Genomic DNA, 14,676 nt, shown 5'->3' on the forward strand with positions numbered 1-14,676 from the left:
GATGGGGTTTCACCATGTTGGCCAAGATGGTCTCGATCTCTTGACCTTGTGATCCGCCCACCACGGCCTCCCAAAGTGCTGGGATTACAGGCGTGAGCCACCGCGCCCAGCCTCTTTTCCTTTCTCTCTAAGCTCTGGCTATAGCATCTACTTTTCACTCTTCAAATGGTGAACTCTTTTCCGTCCATGTCTTTGCCATCTCACGCTTCCCTTTGTCAGTAACGTTCTTCCATGGCAGGCTCTGACTTCATTGTCAGGTCAAAAGTCCCCTGCCCAGGGAACTGTTTGACCATCCAATCTTAGGTGGTCTCCTTCAGGTATTCTCTGTCTCACTCCTTTTTAATTGCATGCAGAATCATGCCTCACAACTGTAATGATTTCTTAAATTATTCATTTCTTTGTTGCTTGTTTCTTCTAGTAACCACAAGCACTGAGCGGGTCTTTTTCTGTTTTGTTCATGGCTGAATTCTTAGTGGCTAGAATAGTATCTGAGCACACAGTAGGTGCTCAATAAATATTTAAGTGAATAATTGAAAACCTGAAATAACATCTTGCATGTTAAATTATGAAAGAGGCAAGTCACCCTAGCATAGAATACATACTCATATTCATATATGTCAAGAAATTCCAAAAGGTTTGTGGAATTCTATTGTGTGATTCTTGATTCTTGTAGCCTTTTTGCAGTATCGCAGCTGCAGTCCCCAGGACAGGCCAAACTGGTAGAAGAGAAACCTGGCCAGGGTGAGAAGGGCCCAATTTTCACCCCTGTCCTACTGCCGGCCATCTGCTATGAGCAGACCATGTCACTGAACTGCTTACACCTCGGCTTCCGCTGCGGAAGATGGAGACGGAAATGCCTGCCCTCCTTCCCCCACCAGCTGTTCACCTCTGCACAGGAAGGGTGACTGTGGTTGTGAAGAGCATCTCAAGTACCCGAAACATTCTATTCAGTCCCAAGTGGGTCTCCGCAGCATCCCACCATTGGCTTCCTGAGTGGAAAATAGCTGAGAAAACTTGGGATTTTTCTCCAAAATTACCATGACTTGTATCAGATCCCAAACAACTGAATGTATTCTTTACTTTGGATTCCAAGAGTGATCTCATATTAGAAAAAGCAGAGTTTAATTTCTGGCAAAGAATGGCAAAAAATGAAAGAAAGAGAGAAAAAGAGAGAGAAAGTGAAAGAAAGAGAAAAAGAAAGAAAGACAAAGGGAGGGAAAGAAAGAAAATGGACCCACTCTATCTACAACAAAGGATATCATATGTATATATGACATATATATCATATATATAAATTCATATGTCATATATATAAATTCTTTTAATTTAACCAGTATTTTATATTACATATACATGGTAGAGAAAGAAAACAATGCAAAAAAGGATAGAATGAAGAGAAAAATTTTCTCCAACCCCAGACTGGTCTCACTTCCTGGGGTTAGTCATTCTTAGCAGATTCTTGTATATTAGTACAGAGACGTTTATTAGAGGCAAGCATAAAAGTGCGTGTACTTGTGTGTATATATATAATTTGTTTTACACACATGGGTTCATATTATACAATCCTATTATATACTTTGTCCCTTTTAACGTATGTTGAAACACTTTTCAAAAATTTTTATGAATGGTCAATATTCATTTTTTTCTATGTCACAATTTCTTTAATGTAGTCCACTAACAATGGACATTTTTAGGTAGTTTCCAGGTTTTGCTATATAAACAATGAGGTAGTGACATCCTTGGGTATACACTCACGCATACATGATACTGTATTTCTAAGATAAGTCCTAAAAAAAAGAGTTACTCTTACACAGTTGTGTACATTTACACTTTTGAGGAATAAAACAAATTTTCTTCAAAGAGGTTGTACCAGGTACACTCTGGTAAAGAGTGCTTGTAAGAGTGTGGCTTTGTGTGTGTGTGTGTGTGTGTGTGTGTGTGTGTGTGTTTTAGGATCAGAGGTAACAGAGAGAACAACTTTTTAAAGGATGTTCTTGGCCAGGTGCGGTGGCTCACGCCTGTAATCCCAACACTTTGGGAGGCCAAGGGGGGTGGATCACTTGAGGTCAGGAGTTCAAGATCAGCCTGGCTAACATAGTGAAACCCTGTCTCTACTAAAAATAAAAAAAGTTAGCCAGGAGTGGTGGCGGGCGCCTGTAATCCCAGTTACTCGAAAGGCTGAGGCAGGAGAATTGCTTGGCCCCAGGAGGCGGAGGTTGCAGTGAGCTGAGACTGAGCCACTGCACTCCAGCCTGGGCAACAGAGTGAGACTCTGTCCCCCTCCAAAAAAAAAAAAAAAAAAAAAAGGGATGTGTTTGTCCCTCTGCTCCTTGGCTCAATCCCCCACTCCCCAAATCTGTTCCCTTTATGGCAAATTGATTACCTAAAAATTGAATCTAATTCTATCCTACCTTTCTTACAACTTTCCTGTGCCTTCCCCTTGCACATGAATATCTCTGAAATGTACTCAGGACACTGTGTGACCCAGAGCCTGCTGCGTTCACTCGCTGTGTCACACCATACTACCCAAAATCAGTGCATGAGCCCAACACACCACCTTTAGTTCCTCCAGTAGGCACGCGCTTTCCTTTGTCACCATCCTTATATGTGCTCTTCCTATTGACTAGCAAGTTCTTCCCCTTACTCTTAGTTTCTCTAATTACTGCTCATCTTGAAAATCCAGGAAATCTTTTTCTGACATATCCCAGTCTAAATGGTAGGGGTAGCCACATGCTACATGTGGACATGTAAATTTAATTAAAATTAAATATAAACTTAAAAACCCAATCCTTAGTCACACTAGCCACATTTTAAGTGATAAATAGCCACGTACATAGTCATCAGTGGCTACCATATTGGACAACACAGATATTTTTCTAGGCTGAATGCGGTGGCTCAGTCCTGTAATCCCAGCACTTTGGGAGGCTGAGGTGGGAGGATTGCTTGAGGCCAGGAGATTGAGACAAACCTGGGCAACATAACGAGACCCTCGTCTCTACAAAAATTAAAAAAACTTTGTTGGGTGTGGTGGCTGGCACCTGTACTCCTAACTACTCAGGAGGCTGAGGTGGGAGGATCATTTAGGCCCAGGAGTTGGAGGCTGCAGTGAGCCATGATCATGCCACTGCACTCCAGCCTGGGTGACAGACTGAGACCAAGTCTCAAAATAAAAATTAAAAATTAAATATTTCTATAATTGTAGAGAATTCTATTGGACAGTGCTTCCCTATATTACTTCTTCATAATACTCATGGCTATTTAAAAATACTTGTTTTGAGAGTGTTGTTTTGATGATTTTAGCCTCACTAGCCTGTGAGCTTCACAAGGGCACAGCTTGTCTCACTTCTTGCTTTTTCCCTTATATTAAATGTTCAATAACTATCTGTTGAATGAATGATGAGTGAATGAATTAAAGAATTCCTCTCAGCTCTTCGCTTTATTGTTGTACTCTTAATGTTCAGTGGACCTTCTGGGAAGGAGCTGGATGTTCTACACTTTTACCGATTTCCTTCAAAACTGCAGTTGGATACCTTAGCAAGACTCATTCATCTGGGGATATTTAGCCTTTCCTATTGGGTTTGACATTTCAGAATCCATTGCTTAACTGTGGGAAGATTGACTATGATTGAGCTAGACCTGTGTGGTGAGCATGGTTTTAATAGTTTGCTTCCCAGATCTCCATCCCTGTCTTAATGACTGAAGCATTCCTTCTACCAGCTGCTTGGAGTGTGACTCAGTGACAGCTTGCAGCTGAGCTGGTACTTAGTTGGGTGTGGTGGCTGGCACCTTTAGGCAAGGTAGCTTGGCCCATGGTTCTCCCTTGATTTTACCCAATGTTCTCAAAACTAAAATAGCTCGTTAGTTTAATTTTCATAAAATGGAAATTTGATAGATCATATTTTATTTATTATGTTGTTAAAATGCCCCACTCTCCTCAGTAGATTCATACACTGAAAAAACTCTTTGAAGCCCTTGCTGAGAGTACATCACAGCTGACCTGTGCCCGCCCTTGACTCCCTCCAAGGTGCTGATCCTGAGAGCCCTCCGCAGTGAACACCCTGCATGCAGATCTCCTTCTTGGAACCTGTTCCTGGAAAACCCAGTCTCCAGCAACCTGATATGTAACTGCAAATCTGCAACTCTAGACCAACCTTCTAAAGAGGGATTTAAGACCTTTTTCAAGAATCTGGCTTGATTTTTTGGCCCATGGTTCTCCCTTTATTTTACTCAATGTTCTCAAAACTAAAATGGCTCTTTAATTTGATTTTCGTAAAATGGAAATTTGGTAGATCATATTTTATTTACTATGTTGTTAAAATGCCCCAATCTCCTCAGTAGATTCATACACTGAAAAAAAAATAAAAAAGAAAATACCTTAACTGGTTCATTACATTGAATTTGCACTGGGTAAAGGGTTAGTACCAACTGTGTTTTTCTCTGGGAGGAAGAAGCTCCAAACAGTAGGCAAGATTTCTGTGCCTTAAAGAAATGTTACTTTAGCTTTTCTTGCTTCAATGGCCTAATAGCAGCTCTTCCTGAGTACCTGTTTATATCACCATAAAAAGGGAATGCTGGTTATAGCTCGTTGTAGCCAGAGGGAAGAGAGATGCTTTTGTCTGTGGGATTGATTCCACTTTAATCCTGAACAGGGTATTTGGCCATCAAGTAGCCTACTGACTGAGGGGAGAAAATTTTATTTTAATTTTTTCTCATAACTGTCAATTTCATTGGGCAGCTATACATTTCTGGGGAATATTTGTATAATAGATGGAATTATAGAAGTTACGCTCACAAGCAGATATTTTGAGATTGATTAAAGATTTAGAAAGAAGTGGCTGGGCGCAGTGGCTCACGCCTGTAATCCCAGCACTTTGGGAGGCCAAGGTGGGCTGATCACCTGAGGTCAGGAGTTCAAGACCAGCCTGGCCAACGTAGTGAAACCCCATCTCTACAATAATTAGCCGGGTATGATGGTGGGTGCCTGTAATTCCAGCTACTTGGGAGGCTGAGGTGGAAGAATGGCTTGAACCCGGGAGTCGGAGGTTGCAGTGAGCCGAGATCATGCCATTGCATTTCAGCCTGGGCAACAGAGTGAGACGCCATCTCAAAGAAAAAAAAAATTAGAAAGAAGTACATTTCCCAGGCTTCTGGGGTACCTCTAAGTGAGACTGACAATTTTACACATAGGACTGCAAAAGTTCTTTATCATACAGAAGTAAATTTCTGAAGTTAAATTCATTTTAGAGAGACAGGCACAGGATCAAGCGTGTGTGAAGGAGATTGGACGTTTTATTGGCATTAAATTTTGAAGCTTAGTTTTCAGACACAGATGAAGTTGAATATTATAAAGATGAAGAAAAGACCTTTTGTTAGACTAATTGCTCTAATATTAACTCAAGAATGGGTCAACTTTCTGCAAGTTAAGGTCATGCATTCTAGGGAATTCGATCTTGATTTTAAATAGGTGTCATGAATACAAAGTTAGAAATACCAGTTTCTCCTTTTATCTTACAAAGGTGTAGGCTGAGAAAGGCACTGGCATATTAGCTGGAGAAAGACTAACAGGAAGAATATAAGGGTTATTAAAAATGTTTCCTACTATTCTCTGATCTAGAGAGGCATGCAAGTGAAGATCATATTAAATTTAAGGGAGAGCATATTGGATGAATAACATCAGTTCAAGTTTTGAAATCCTTGAGAAGAAAAAAAGAGCTGAGCACGGTGGCTCATGCCTGTAATCCCAGCACTTTGGGAGGCCAAGGCGGGTGGATCAGGAGGTCAGGAGATCGAGACCATCCTGGCCAACACGGTGAAACCCCGTCTCTACTAAAAATACAAAAATTAGCTGGGCGTGGTGGCAGGCGCCTGTAGTCCCAGCTACTTGGGAGGCTGAGGCAGGAGAATGGCATGAACACGGGAGGTGGAGCTTGCAGTGAGCCGAGATCGCACCACTGCACTCCAGGCTGGGCGACAGAGCAAGACTCCGTCTCAAAAAAAAAAAAAAAAAAAAAGAAAAAAATGAACCAGCATAAATCGACATTTAGAGTACAGAGAGATTCGATATTAACTTCTCCAATTCTGTACTTTACAGATGGGGAAACTGAGGGCAAGTGAGATTTCATGATTTCTCTAAGATTCTGGCCTCTTAGTAACCACATTTTTAAGCTGTAAAACATATAACCTGGTGGCTCAGAGCATAAACCTCTGTGGGAGGCGGTGGACAGACAGATCTTTCTATACCATGGCTACATTGTGATTCTGGACACGTTACTTAACCTCTCCTAATTTCTGTTTCCTCAGTTAAACAATATCAATAATTATGGCTCCTGAATCACAGGGATGTCTTGAACATTAAATAAAATAGTTGCTGTAGAGCCTTTTCATAACCCATTAGCTACTTTGAAAAGCAGATTCTGAAGTTGCGGACCATGGCTGGTTGTTCACCTGGATTCCTGAGCCCTGGAACATAATGGGTCCTTAATGAATCAATGAATGAATATTACAAACCCGAATGTAGAGACACTGCTTCATGCATTATGCAGGCTAAAATTGTCATCCATTTAAAATGCCAATTTAAACAGTCTTACATTTGAACAACATGCAGCTACTTTACTTTTGGAATATCTAGTTCTGAACTCTTGTAATTGAAGTGTAAACTTGTGTAACATAAGCATAGGTAACATCTTCTAAATGGAGGAGTGGAAGGTTAAAAGGTGGCATAATCTATTATAAGATTAAAAACATCATCCACTAATGAGTTTGAGGTTTTCATGTTTTGCTCTATTCTATGTTACTCCATTTGCTATATCTTGTAGAAAATTGTCCTGACATATTGTGGAGTAGGAGGAAAAAAGTGAGTGTCAGAAAAAAAGGAATTCTGGCACAAATGTGTCCACATATATATTTCTGCATGCTTGTAGGAAAATGAAGAAAGGAAAGACTTCTAATAGTAACTATGATAAAGGAACTGTGTTTTCCTTGAAGTGGGTGGAAGTGAGTTGAGTGGTCATTTGCTTTTGTATTTTTGTGCTTTTGTATTTATTTATCTGCTTATCTAGTAATCTATATTATTTATTCATTTATACAGTGTACATTCTTACCTTTTGTAATACAATGAAAACAATATTATGACCCTAATTGACCAGAGACAAGGAACAGTGGTTGGAAGGTGATTTCTTTTAGTGAATCTATTTAAGTTAAAATATTTTGAAAATCCCTTCTCTATGTCGTAAGGGTACATACTCAGATATTGTATTGTGTTGTCTTAAAAGACATCATCCAGTAACATCACTAAATTTTTCTCTTATGTATCTTTTGGGACCTTGGAGAGCAACAGATCATGTTCATCCATATGTAAATTAATCCATTTGTCACTTTCACTGTATATTTTGTGTTGCAGGAGAATTAGTGAGGCGGTGTTACTTTCTGCACCTTAGCATAATTATTGTGTCATTGTCAGAGACAGTGTAAATCTTGACATTTACAATGGAATATATTTTCCTTTAGTGACCATTACTAATGTTGTTTTAATTAAAAGCACTGATAGCTCAGGGTTTTCAGCAACATCTCTCCCATTGTCATAAATTAGAGGATTAAATTGTCTTATTTCATATCCTACTATGTTTACCAAGGGAACAATAGCAATTCTAGTTTGTCAAAGGAGAGAAAGATGGGATTTGGATTAATCTGCTCATATATTTAAGAATTGCAGCTTGGGTCAGTGAGAGACTGTGGTCAGATTGAGCAATTGGGAAGAGGAAGTTGGGTCATGTTTTCAGAGTAAATCAAGCTGATTTGGAAATAAAATGTACCTTGATAATTTGTTTACTTTTAATTTTTGTCACACTGCAAGTGTTGGTGTTTGCTGTTACGTAGCAAAATTACATTCAATATTTAAGGGCCACGATCCTGGTGAACTGTATAAAGAGTATGTTTTGTTTAGGACAATAATAGAAAGTGGGGAAGGAGAAAATCATGTTCTATTGAGCTTATTTTATTCACAAGCTAGTATTTTTGCAGATTTTCACTCTTTAGCCAAAAAAGACTTTTTTTCTCCCCTGTGGAAGAATAAAGCCATCTAACTGTCATTTAAGGGCAGTCACTTGTAATGCAAATATAGAAATATGGAAATATTGACAGATATGAGCTATATGCATCAGCATTCTGAGTTTGAAATTAATAATAATGGGACACTGACTAATAGCTGGTTCTGTACAGCACTATATGCTTGTACAGGGTAAACAGTTACTACCGGTGACCCCAATTTCATGGATGAAGAAGTTGGGGATCAGAGCACTGTCAAAGCTTGTCCTAGGCCACATGGTCAAGAGAGATGAACCTAGAATTTGAACTTGGGAATGTTTAATTAATTCTTAATTTAACTCTTGGGATAAGGTTTAAACATTGCTGTTACTCCCTTGGGAGAGAGAGGAGGATTCTTACATGCCATGCTAGATTTTCTGTATTCATCCTTTTTAATTCTCTTTTCACTAATCCTTTAAGGCATGTGTTATTAACTTCATTTAAGTTTTCAGGAAACTCAGGCTCCAAGAATTTGGAAGTTGTCCAGAGTTACAGACAGGGTAAAGGATTGGATAGAGTTTGAATTTGTATTTGTGGTACCGGTGTCCATGCTAGTTCTGTTACCTATACCTACCCTGATACAGACAGACCTAGAAGTCTCATCAGAATGCTGGATGGATGAGGAAGTGTGGGTGAATCAGGCATCACCCACAAAGACTGCGTCTGTGAATGTTCTGCTAATATGGCAGTTATTGTACTGCTATGCAGCCAATAATAGTGGAATTATTACTGAGTGGGAGGCTCTGTGTTTCACTTATGTTGTCTCTATGGCCAATTTAAAAACATCTCTGTGTACATTAGTAAGGTTAAGACACAGATTAATCAATCACATTTACACAAACAAGATGCTCACATCCACCGTTTATGGTTAATCACATTACTTGACCAAGTAGCAATACAGCATAATGGTTAAATCTGGGATTCAATGGAATCTCAGTCTATTCTGACGTGTTGTCACTGAACTCATTTTACAGGTAAAGAAGTTTGGGCTTGGAGGGATGCACAATTCACTGAAGATTGCTCACCTCGGAACAGGAGGAGCGAGGGGCTCAGATCCATGCCTTCTCTGCTTAATCTCTGCTATATTGATGCATAGTCCTGTAGCCAATCCTTGTAATTTTAATATTAGTAACAGGGCTAGGTGAATACCCCAGGTTACCACTTGAAGATTGTCTCTTTTAGATATGTTCTCAAACTGCTTTATTTACCTGATCCTCTGCAAATGAGGAGAAACTTCAAGAAGTTGCTAAATGAAAAAGTTAAAAAGTGGATTTTAAGGAAACTAAAGTGAATGCCATACAACTGACTTGAAAAAACAAAGGAAGAAGATGCAGCAGGGGTTTGAGCACTCTTTGTGGGTTTATTTCTTTAGGAAAAAAGACTAAAGCTAAATTCCATAGTTAGAATCTTTAGAAGAATCTTAATAACCAAGATCATCACCAATATAATAAACTAAATTTGAACACTGGACACGAAAAAAATAGGGAAGGCCACATAGATGTCAATAAACATTTTTCTTCTTTTTATTGTCATTGTTTTGCTGAATTTTATAATATTTTCCTTTTAATAACCTAATATGAACCTACTGCCCCAATACAAAATTATCATTTTGGTATATTTCTTCCTATTTTTTTCTCCTAAACATTGAAAGTTTCACATGGTTACAAGGATCACATATTTACAATGTCATACCCAGTGTATTTTTTTTTTTTTTTTTTTTTGAGATGGAGTTTCACTCTTGTTGCCCGGGCTGGAGTATAGTGGCACGATCTCGGCTCACCACAACCTCTACCTCCCGGATTCAAGCGATTCTCCTGCCTCAGCCTCCTGAGTAGCTGGGATTACGGGCATGTGCCACCATGCCCGGCTAATTTTGTATTTTTAGTAGTAATGGGGTTTCTCCATGTTGGTCAGGCTGGTCTCGAACTCCCAACCTCAGGTGATTCGCCTGTCTCAGCCTCCCAAAGTGCTGGGATTACAGGCGTGAGCCAACCGCACCCGGCCGTGTATATTTTTAAATGTATTTTGTTATGTTGTAAATACTTCCCCAAATCATCATTTTAACTTTAAAACTGTGAGTTTGAAGTCTATGATGACTAGGTACGTAGTTTACTTGATAGTAAAAACATTTAAGTTGTTTTTAACTAAAAGTGACACTCAGGCTTGTAACTTTGACCATGTTTTAGATTGTTTCCTTGGAATGGATGTGATAATGAAGTTAGAGAGTTTGAATATTTTTATGGCTCTTAATACATATTACAAATTAACTTCCCTATGGGCTACGATTTACATTACAGCCAGTTTTTAAGGCTAGAAATCTGGCAGTGGGGCTGGGCGCGGTGGCTCACGCCTGTAATCCCAGCACTTTGGGAGGCCAAGGCGGGTGGATCAGGAGGTCAGGAGATCGAGACTATCCTGGCTAACACGATGAAACCCCATCTCTACTAAAAATACAAAAAATTAGCTGGGCGTGGTGGTGGGCGCCTGTAGACCCAGCTACTCAGGAGGTTGAGGCAGGAGAATGGCATGAACCCGGGAGGCGGAGCTTGCAGTGAGCCGAGATTGCGGCACTGCACTCTAGCCTGGGTGACAGAGCGAGACTCACTCTCAAAAAAAAAAAAAAAAAAAAAAAAAAGAAGAAAAGGAAAAAGAAAAAATAAATCTGGCAGTGGGCCACAGAGGTAGCTGATGTTCTATTTGTTTTGCAGTCATCCATGCACTGGTTATAGGATGTGGCTCAGAATCCCAAACTAAGTAATAAAACAAAGTCATATGTAGAGTCCAATGTGTATATTTCGACCCTTAGCATGAAGATACATACAGTGTTTTGTGACTTCCATAATTTAGAGTCTCTGTAAATTCTTTAACTCATTTAGGTATTTCATTGTAACCAAAGAAAACTTAAATATGACTTAGCAATGGTGAGCTGTGCTGTGTTCAGCACATTAATAAATGCCACCAAATGATTTCAATGAACATTTTTAGTTCATTTGTTCTGAAACTAGAAAGAAGACACTTAATATTGGTTTCTGACTTTTGAGCAAATTTTATTTCCTCGGTTAATACTCTGAATGTAATTTACTTGCTATGCTTGCTAACAATGGAAAGCATTGAATTTGGTTTTGTGGCTTATGCTCTTTATCAATTATATGCCATTGATAAAGTTGTCTACCTCCACTGCAATACTGGGAAGGTTAATAAAGAGAGAGCGTGCTCATTTGAGTCAGTTCTGTACTGACAGAACGTGCATCTCTGGCTATTTGTGGTATGTATATGGCCTATCAGAAACTACAATAATAATTGAGACCAATTTAATAACCATTATACCAGTGACCTAGTCATTCTTGTAGTTTGGTATATTTAATGCATTTACATTCATTTGTGGATCCATGTAGACCACACATTCATTCATCTATTCAACGACTTTTCATTGAGTATCTTCTATGTATAAGGTAATTCTTTGTACCAGGAGATAACTGGTGAATCAGAGTAAACCAGAAAATAGATGAATGGTTAGTATCGTTGCTCTGCTATGCACTCATTTAATGAGTCATTTTAGGATTACTATAGCAACACTATTAAAAATTTTACAGTCATTCACATGGCTCGAAATTCAAGAATTAAAAGTTCAAAAGGGTATACAGGAAAGATTCTCTCACCCGTCTACCCAGAGCCACCAATTCTCCTCAAGAGGGCAATCAATTTTATAGTTTCTTCTCTTTCAGCCATATTTCAAGCATATATCAGCATATACATATATAGGTATATTTGTATATATGTCATGTGTGTGTACACCGCATTTTTTCCCCACAAAAATAGTATATATGCGCTATCCATTATTCTCTAACTACCTTGTGTCACTTAATAAATTTCAAAAAGCTCTTTTAATTATTACTTAAAGATTGGCCACATTTCTTTTTTATTCCTGTCAGCATGGTATTTCATTGTGTTAGATATTCTATTAATTTTGAATTCTTGTTGATTATATTTTATCATTATTATAAATAGTACTACAATGCATATCTTTACATAAGTTGCTTTCACTTAGATTTTTTTCCTTAATAACTAGAATTGCAAATTAAAGTGGAGCAAGTTTCTATGGCTATTGAAAAATATTCTTCAAGTTATAATCTGGAAATATTGATCTACAGTATGCACAGAATACTATGTTTTGTGTAAGAAGTGGGGGTAAGACTGTATATTTGTATTTGTATATATGTGCTTGTGTTTGCACAAGGAAATAATGCATTTAGTTGTAAGTCAGTGACTGGGTCTGGTGCAGGGGTAGGAAATAGAGGTGGAAAGCAGGCTAATTAATATATACCTCTGAAATAATTTTGAATTTTGATCCATGTGAATGTATTACTTTTTCAAAAAATTAATATTAACTATAAAATTAAAAATCAAAGTATATTTCTTTATTATTCTGCCATTTTCAATATATGAGTACACATGGATTTTTTTAAAAAATAATTTTATAGACTGGGGTATTGGAAAAGTAGTATAATCAGGTGGAATGCAGGAAGTCACAAAGTGGACCTGGCCTTGGAACGTGTTCATTGGTTGGATCTAATTCATAGTTTTGTTGCTTTTATTCTTGATTTTTTTTAAAAAAATGGAAAAGTAATGAAGTGTTTCCCAAATGTCATTTATTCATCCTCTTCACAGTCTTTGTCATATGTGTGAATAGTTTTCACTGTTATTCACTTACTACTTCACTAAAATAATTTATTTTTCTTTTTTTTGGATTTTTATAGCAGTGCCATTAACAAAAAGCCAATATTATTTTCCATGAGTAGAAGCTGCATAAATTGGAGCTCCTTCAGAGAAGAAGAACCACAGGAAGATATTTAATTAGAGGTTTGGTTTGGGGATTTTGGGGATTATTTCTTTTGCACTTGTAGGAACCTGGTTTGCAGGGTCTAGGTGCTCCTAGTGCTGAAACCTGACATCAGAAGTGAAGATGGACATAAAATGAGGTGATTGAAGACAAACTGCAGCCTATGAAGATGGGCTAGAAGCATCTGATTTTCAAAGCCCCCAATCCACCAACTTCAAAGATGGGGTCATCTTGTAAGGAGAAGAGCTAAGCAGGTGCTTGGCCGAGGTTTCTGAGGAGCTGAAGGAGGATCTGGAAGCAGTTAAAGTAGTTGCAGCCCAGCTGTTGTCCATGCCACCCTGGTGAACCAGCACATCAGAGACAGTGCGCATGAGTGAGAGTAGTGTGCACTGCCCTGAGCTTCCAGCGGGGAAGCTCACCTTCACCTTCCCACATCCTACAATATGGCTAACTTTGTCCACCTTCCAGATCTGGCTACCCTCAATATGGCTACCCTAACCTTCCCACATCCTACAATAAGGCTACCTTTGTCCACCTTCTAGATCTCGCGGTCCACCCTAATTCTGACCTGTGCAAGGAAAGCAATTCTTTGAAAAATAGTTCTAGTTTAACTGAGCTGATATAATACAAATCCACTGCAAAAGATAACTAAAAATAAATACAATGAAAATGAAGCAATATTAGACACATTGTTCAATGAAGGCACTGAGCCTGAGGCTTTCTCTTGTTGAAAAGCAAGATCTGGAAGTTTTAGGGGGGGTTTAAAATTATTGTTACCCACTGAATGGAACTTCTCCTTGACTCACTCAGAAGGACTGACATGAAAAATGAGTATCTTTCTCAACGTGAGGTTCTGTGCCATTTGTTGCCTCTCCCAATACAGTTTCTTCTTCTCTCTCAGTTGAAGGAGGATACAGGGGTGATTGGAGATGGTGTCATGCTATCCTTGGCCTTATCTGCATTTCTGCTTCTTAAACGAATGAAATGATGAACTAGATGATCATATGGTAGACAGAAGGGAAAAGAGTGATTTTATTTATCTGTAGACAGAGCTCTTTGAAGACCTGTCATGGGCACACATCAAAGACAAATGTTGTGTGCATCAAAGGCTTGTTGGCTTTTGAGGTGGTAGGTGAGAAAAAAGCATAGTTTGGCTCATATCTGTGAAAGGTGTTTTGGCCATCTCAGTACCCATTGGAGAATTTTGTGTAGCTAAAGAGACCTCATGACTTTGAGTTTCTGGCAGACCTACTAACTGTGGATGGAAGCACCAGGGGCTGGCTTCTCACTGAGATGCTTCTATTCATATCTGTCCCGGTGGCATTCCCCAAGTGGTGTCTCCTGGATCCCCTCCATCCTTGAATCTGTGCCTCATCCCACACCCCACTGCTCAGGTTTGAATTGGTTCTGCAGTTTACCAGTGGTTTGACCTTGGGGAAGTCACTTCAAGTCCCTGCAATGTAGGGATATTATAGGCTCCAAATCACTGGGTAGTTGTGAGGATTAAATCAGGGGTTGGTAAATTATGATCCAAAGGCCAAAATGCCCCTCTCTCCTGCTTGTTTTTGCAAATAAACTTTCACGGGAACACAGCCATACCCATTAGTTTACATGTAATCTGTGGCTGTTTGCACACCTCGCAGCAGCAAGTTGAGCAGTTGTGGCAGAGACCCTGTGGCTCACAAAGCCTAAGGTATTTACTGAAAAAGTTAGCTGACCCCTGGATTAAACAAGTGAATACCTATAAATTCAAT

General features: G+C 39.0%; 1 protein-coding gene across 4 annotated transcripts in view; it reads left to right on the plus strand.

Moving 5' to 3' along the window:
• Positions 1-14,676, plus strand: part of DOK5 (docking protein 5) — a 175,577-nt gene that overhangs the window by 15,183 nt on the left and 145,718 nt on the right. Inside the window, exon 2 of one of the 4 annotated variants that reach the window (NM_001294161.2) lies at positions 4,025-4,379. The exons of the other annotated variants lie outside the window; for them this stretch is intronic. Coding sequence (NP_001281090.1) covers positions 4,025-4,195 — 171 coding nt within the window. The 3' untranslated portion in view covers positions 4,196-4,379. Of the gene's footprint in view, positions 1-4,024; positions 4,380-14,676 lie in introns of those variants that run through there. 4 annotated transcript variants of the gene reach the window in all.

This window comes from Homo sapiens, chromosome 20 (genome assembly GCF_000001405.40).
Source record: "Homo sapiens chromosome 20, GRCh38.p14 Primary Assembly".
NCBI classification, from domain to species: Eukaryota; Metazoa; Chordata; class Mammalia; order Primates; family Hominidae; genus Homo; species Homo sapiens.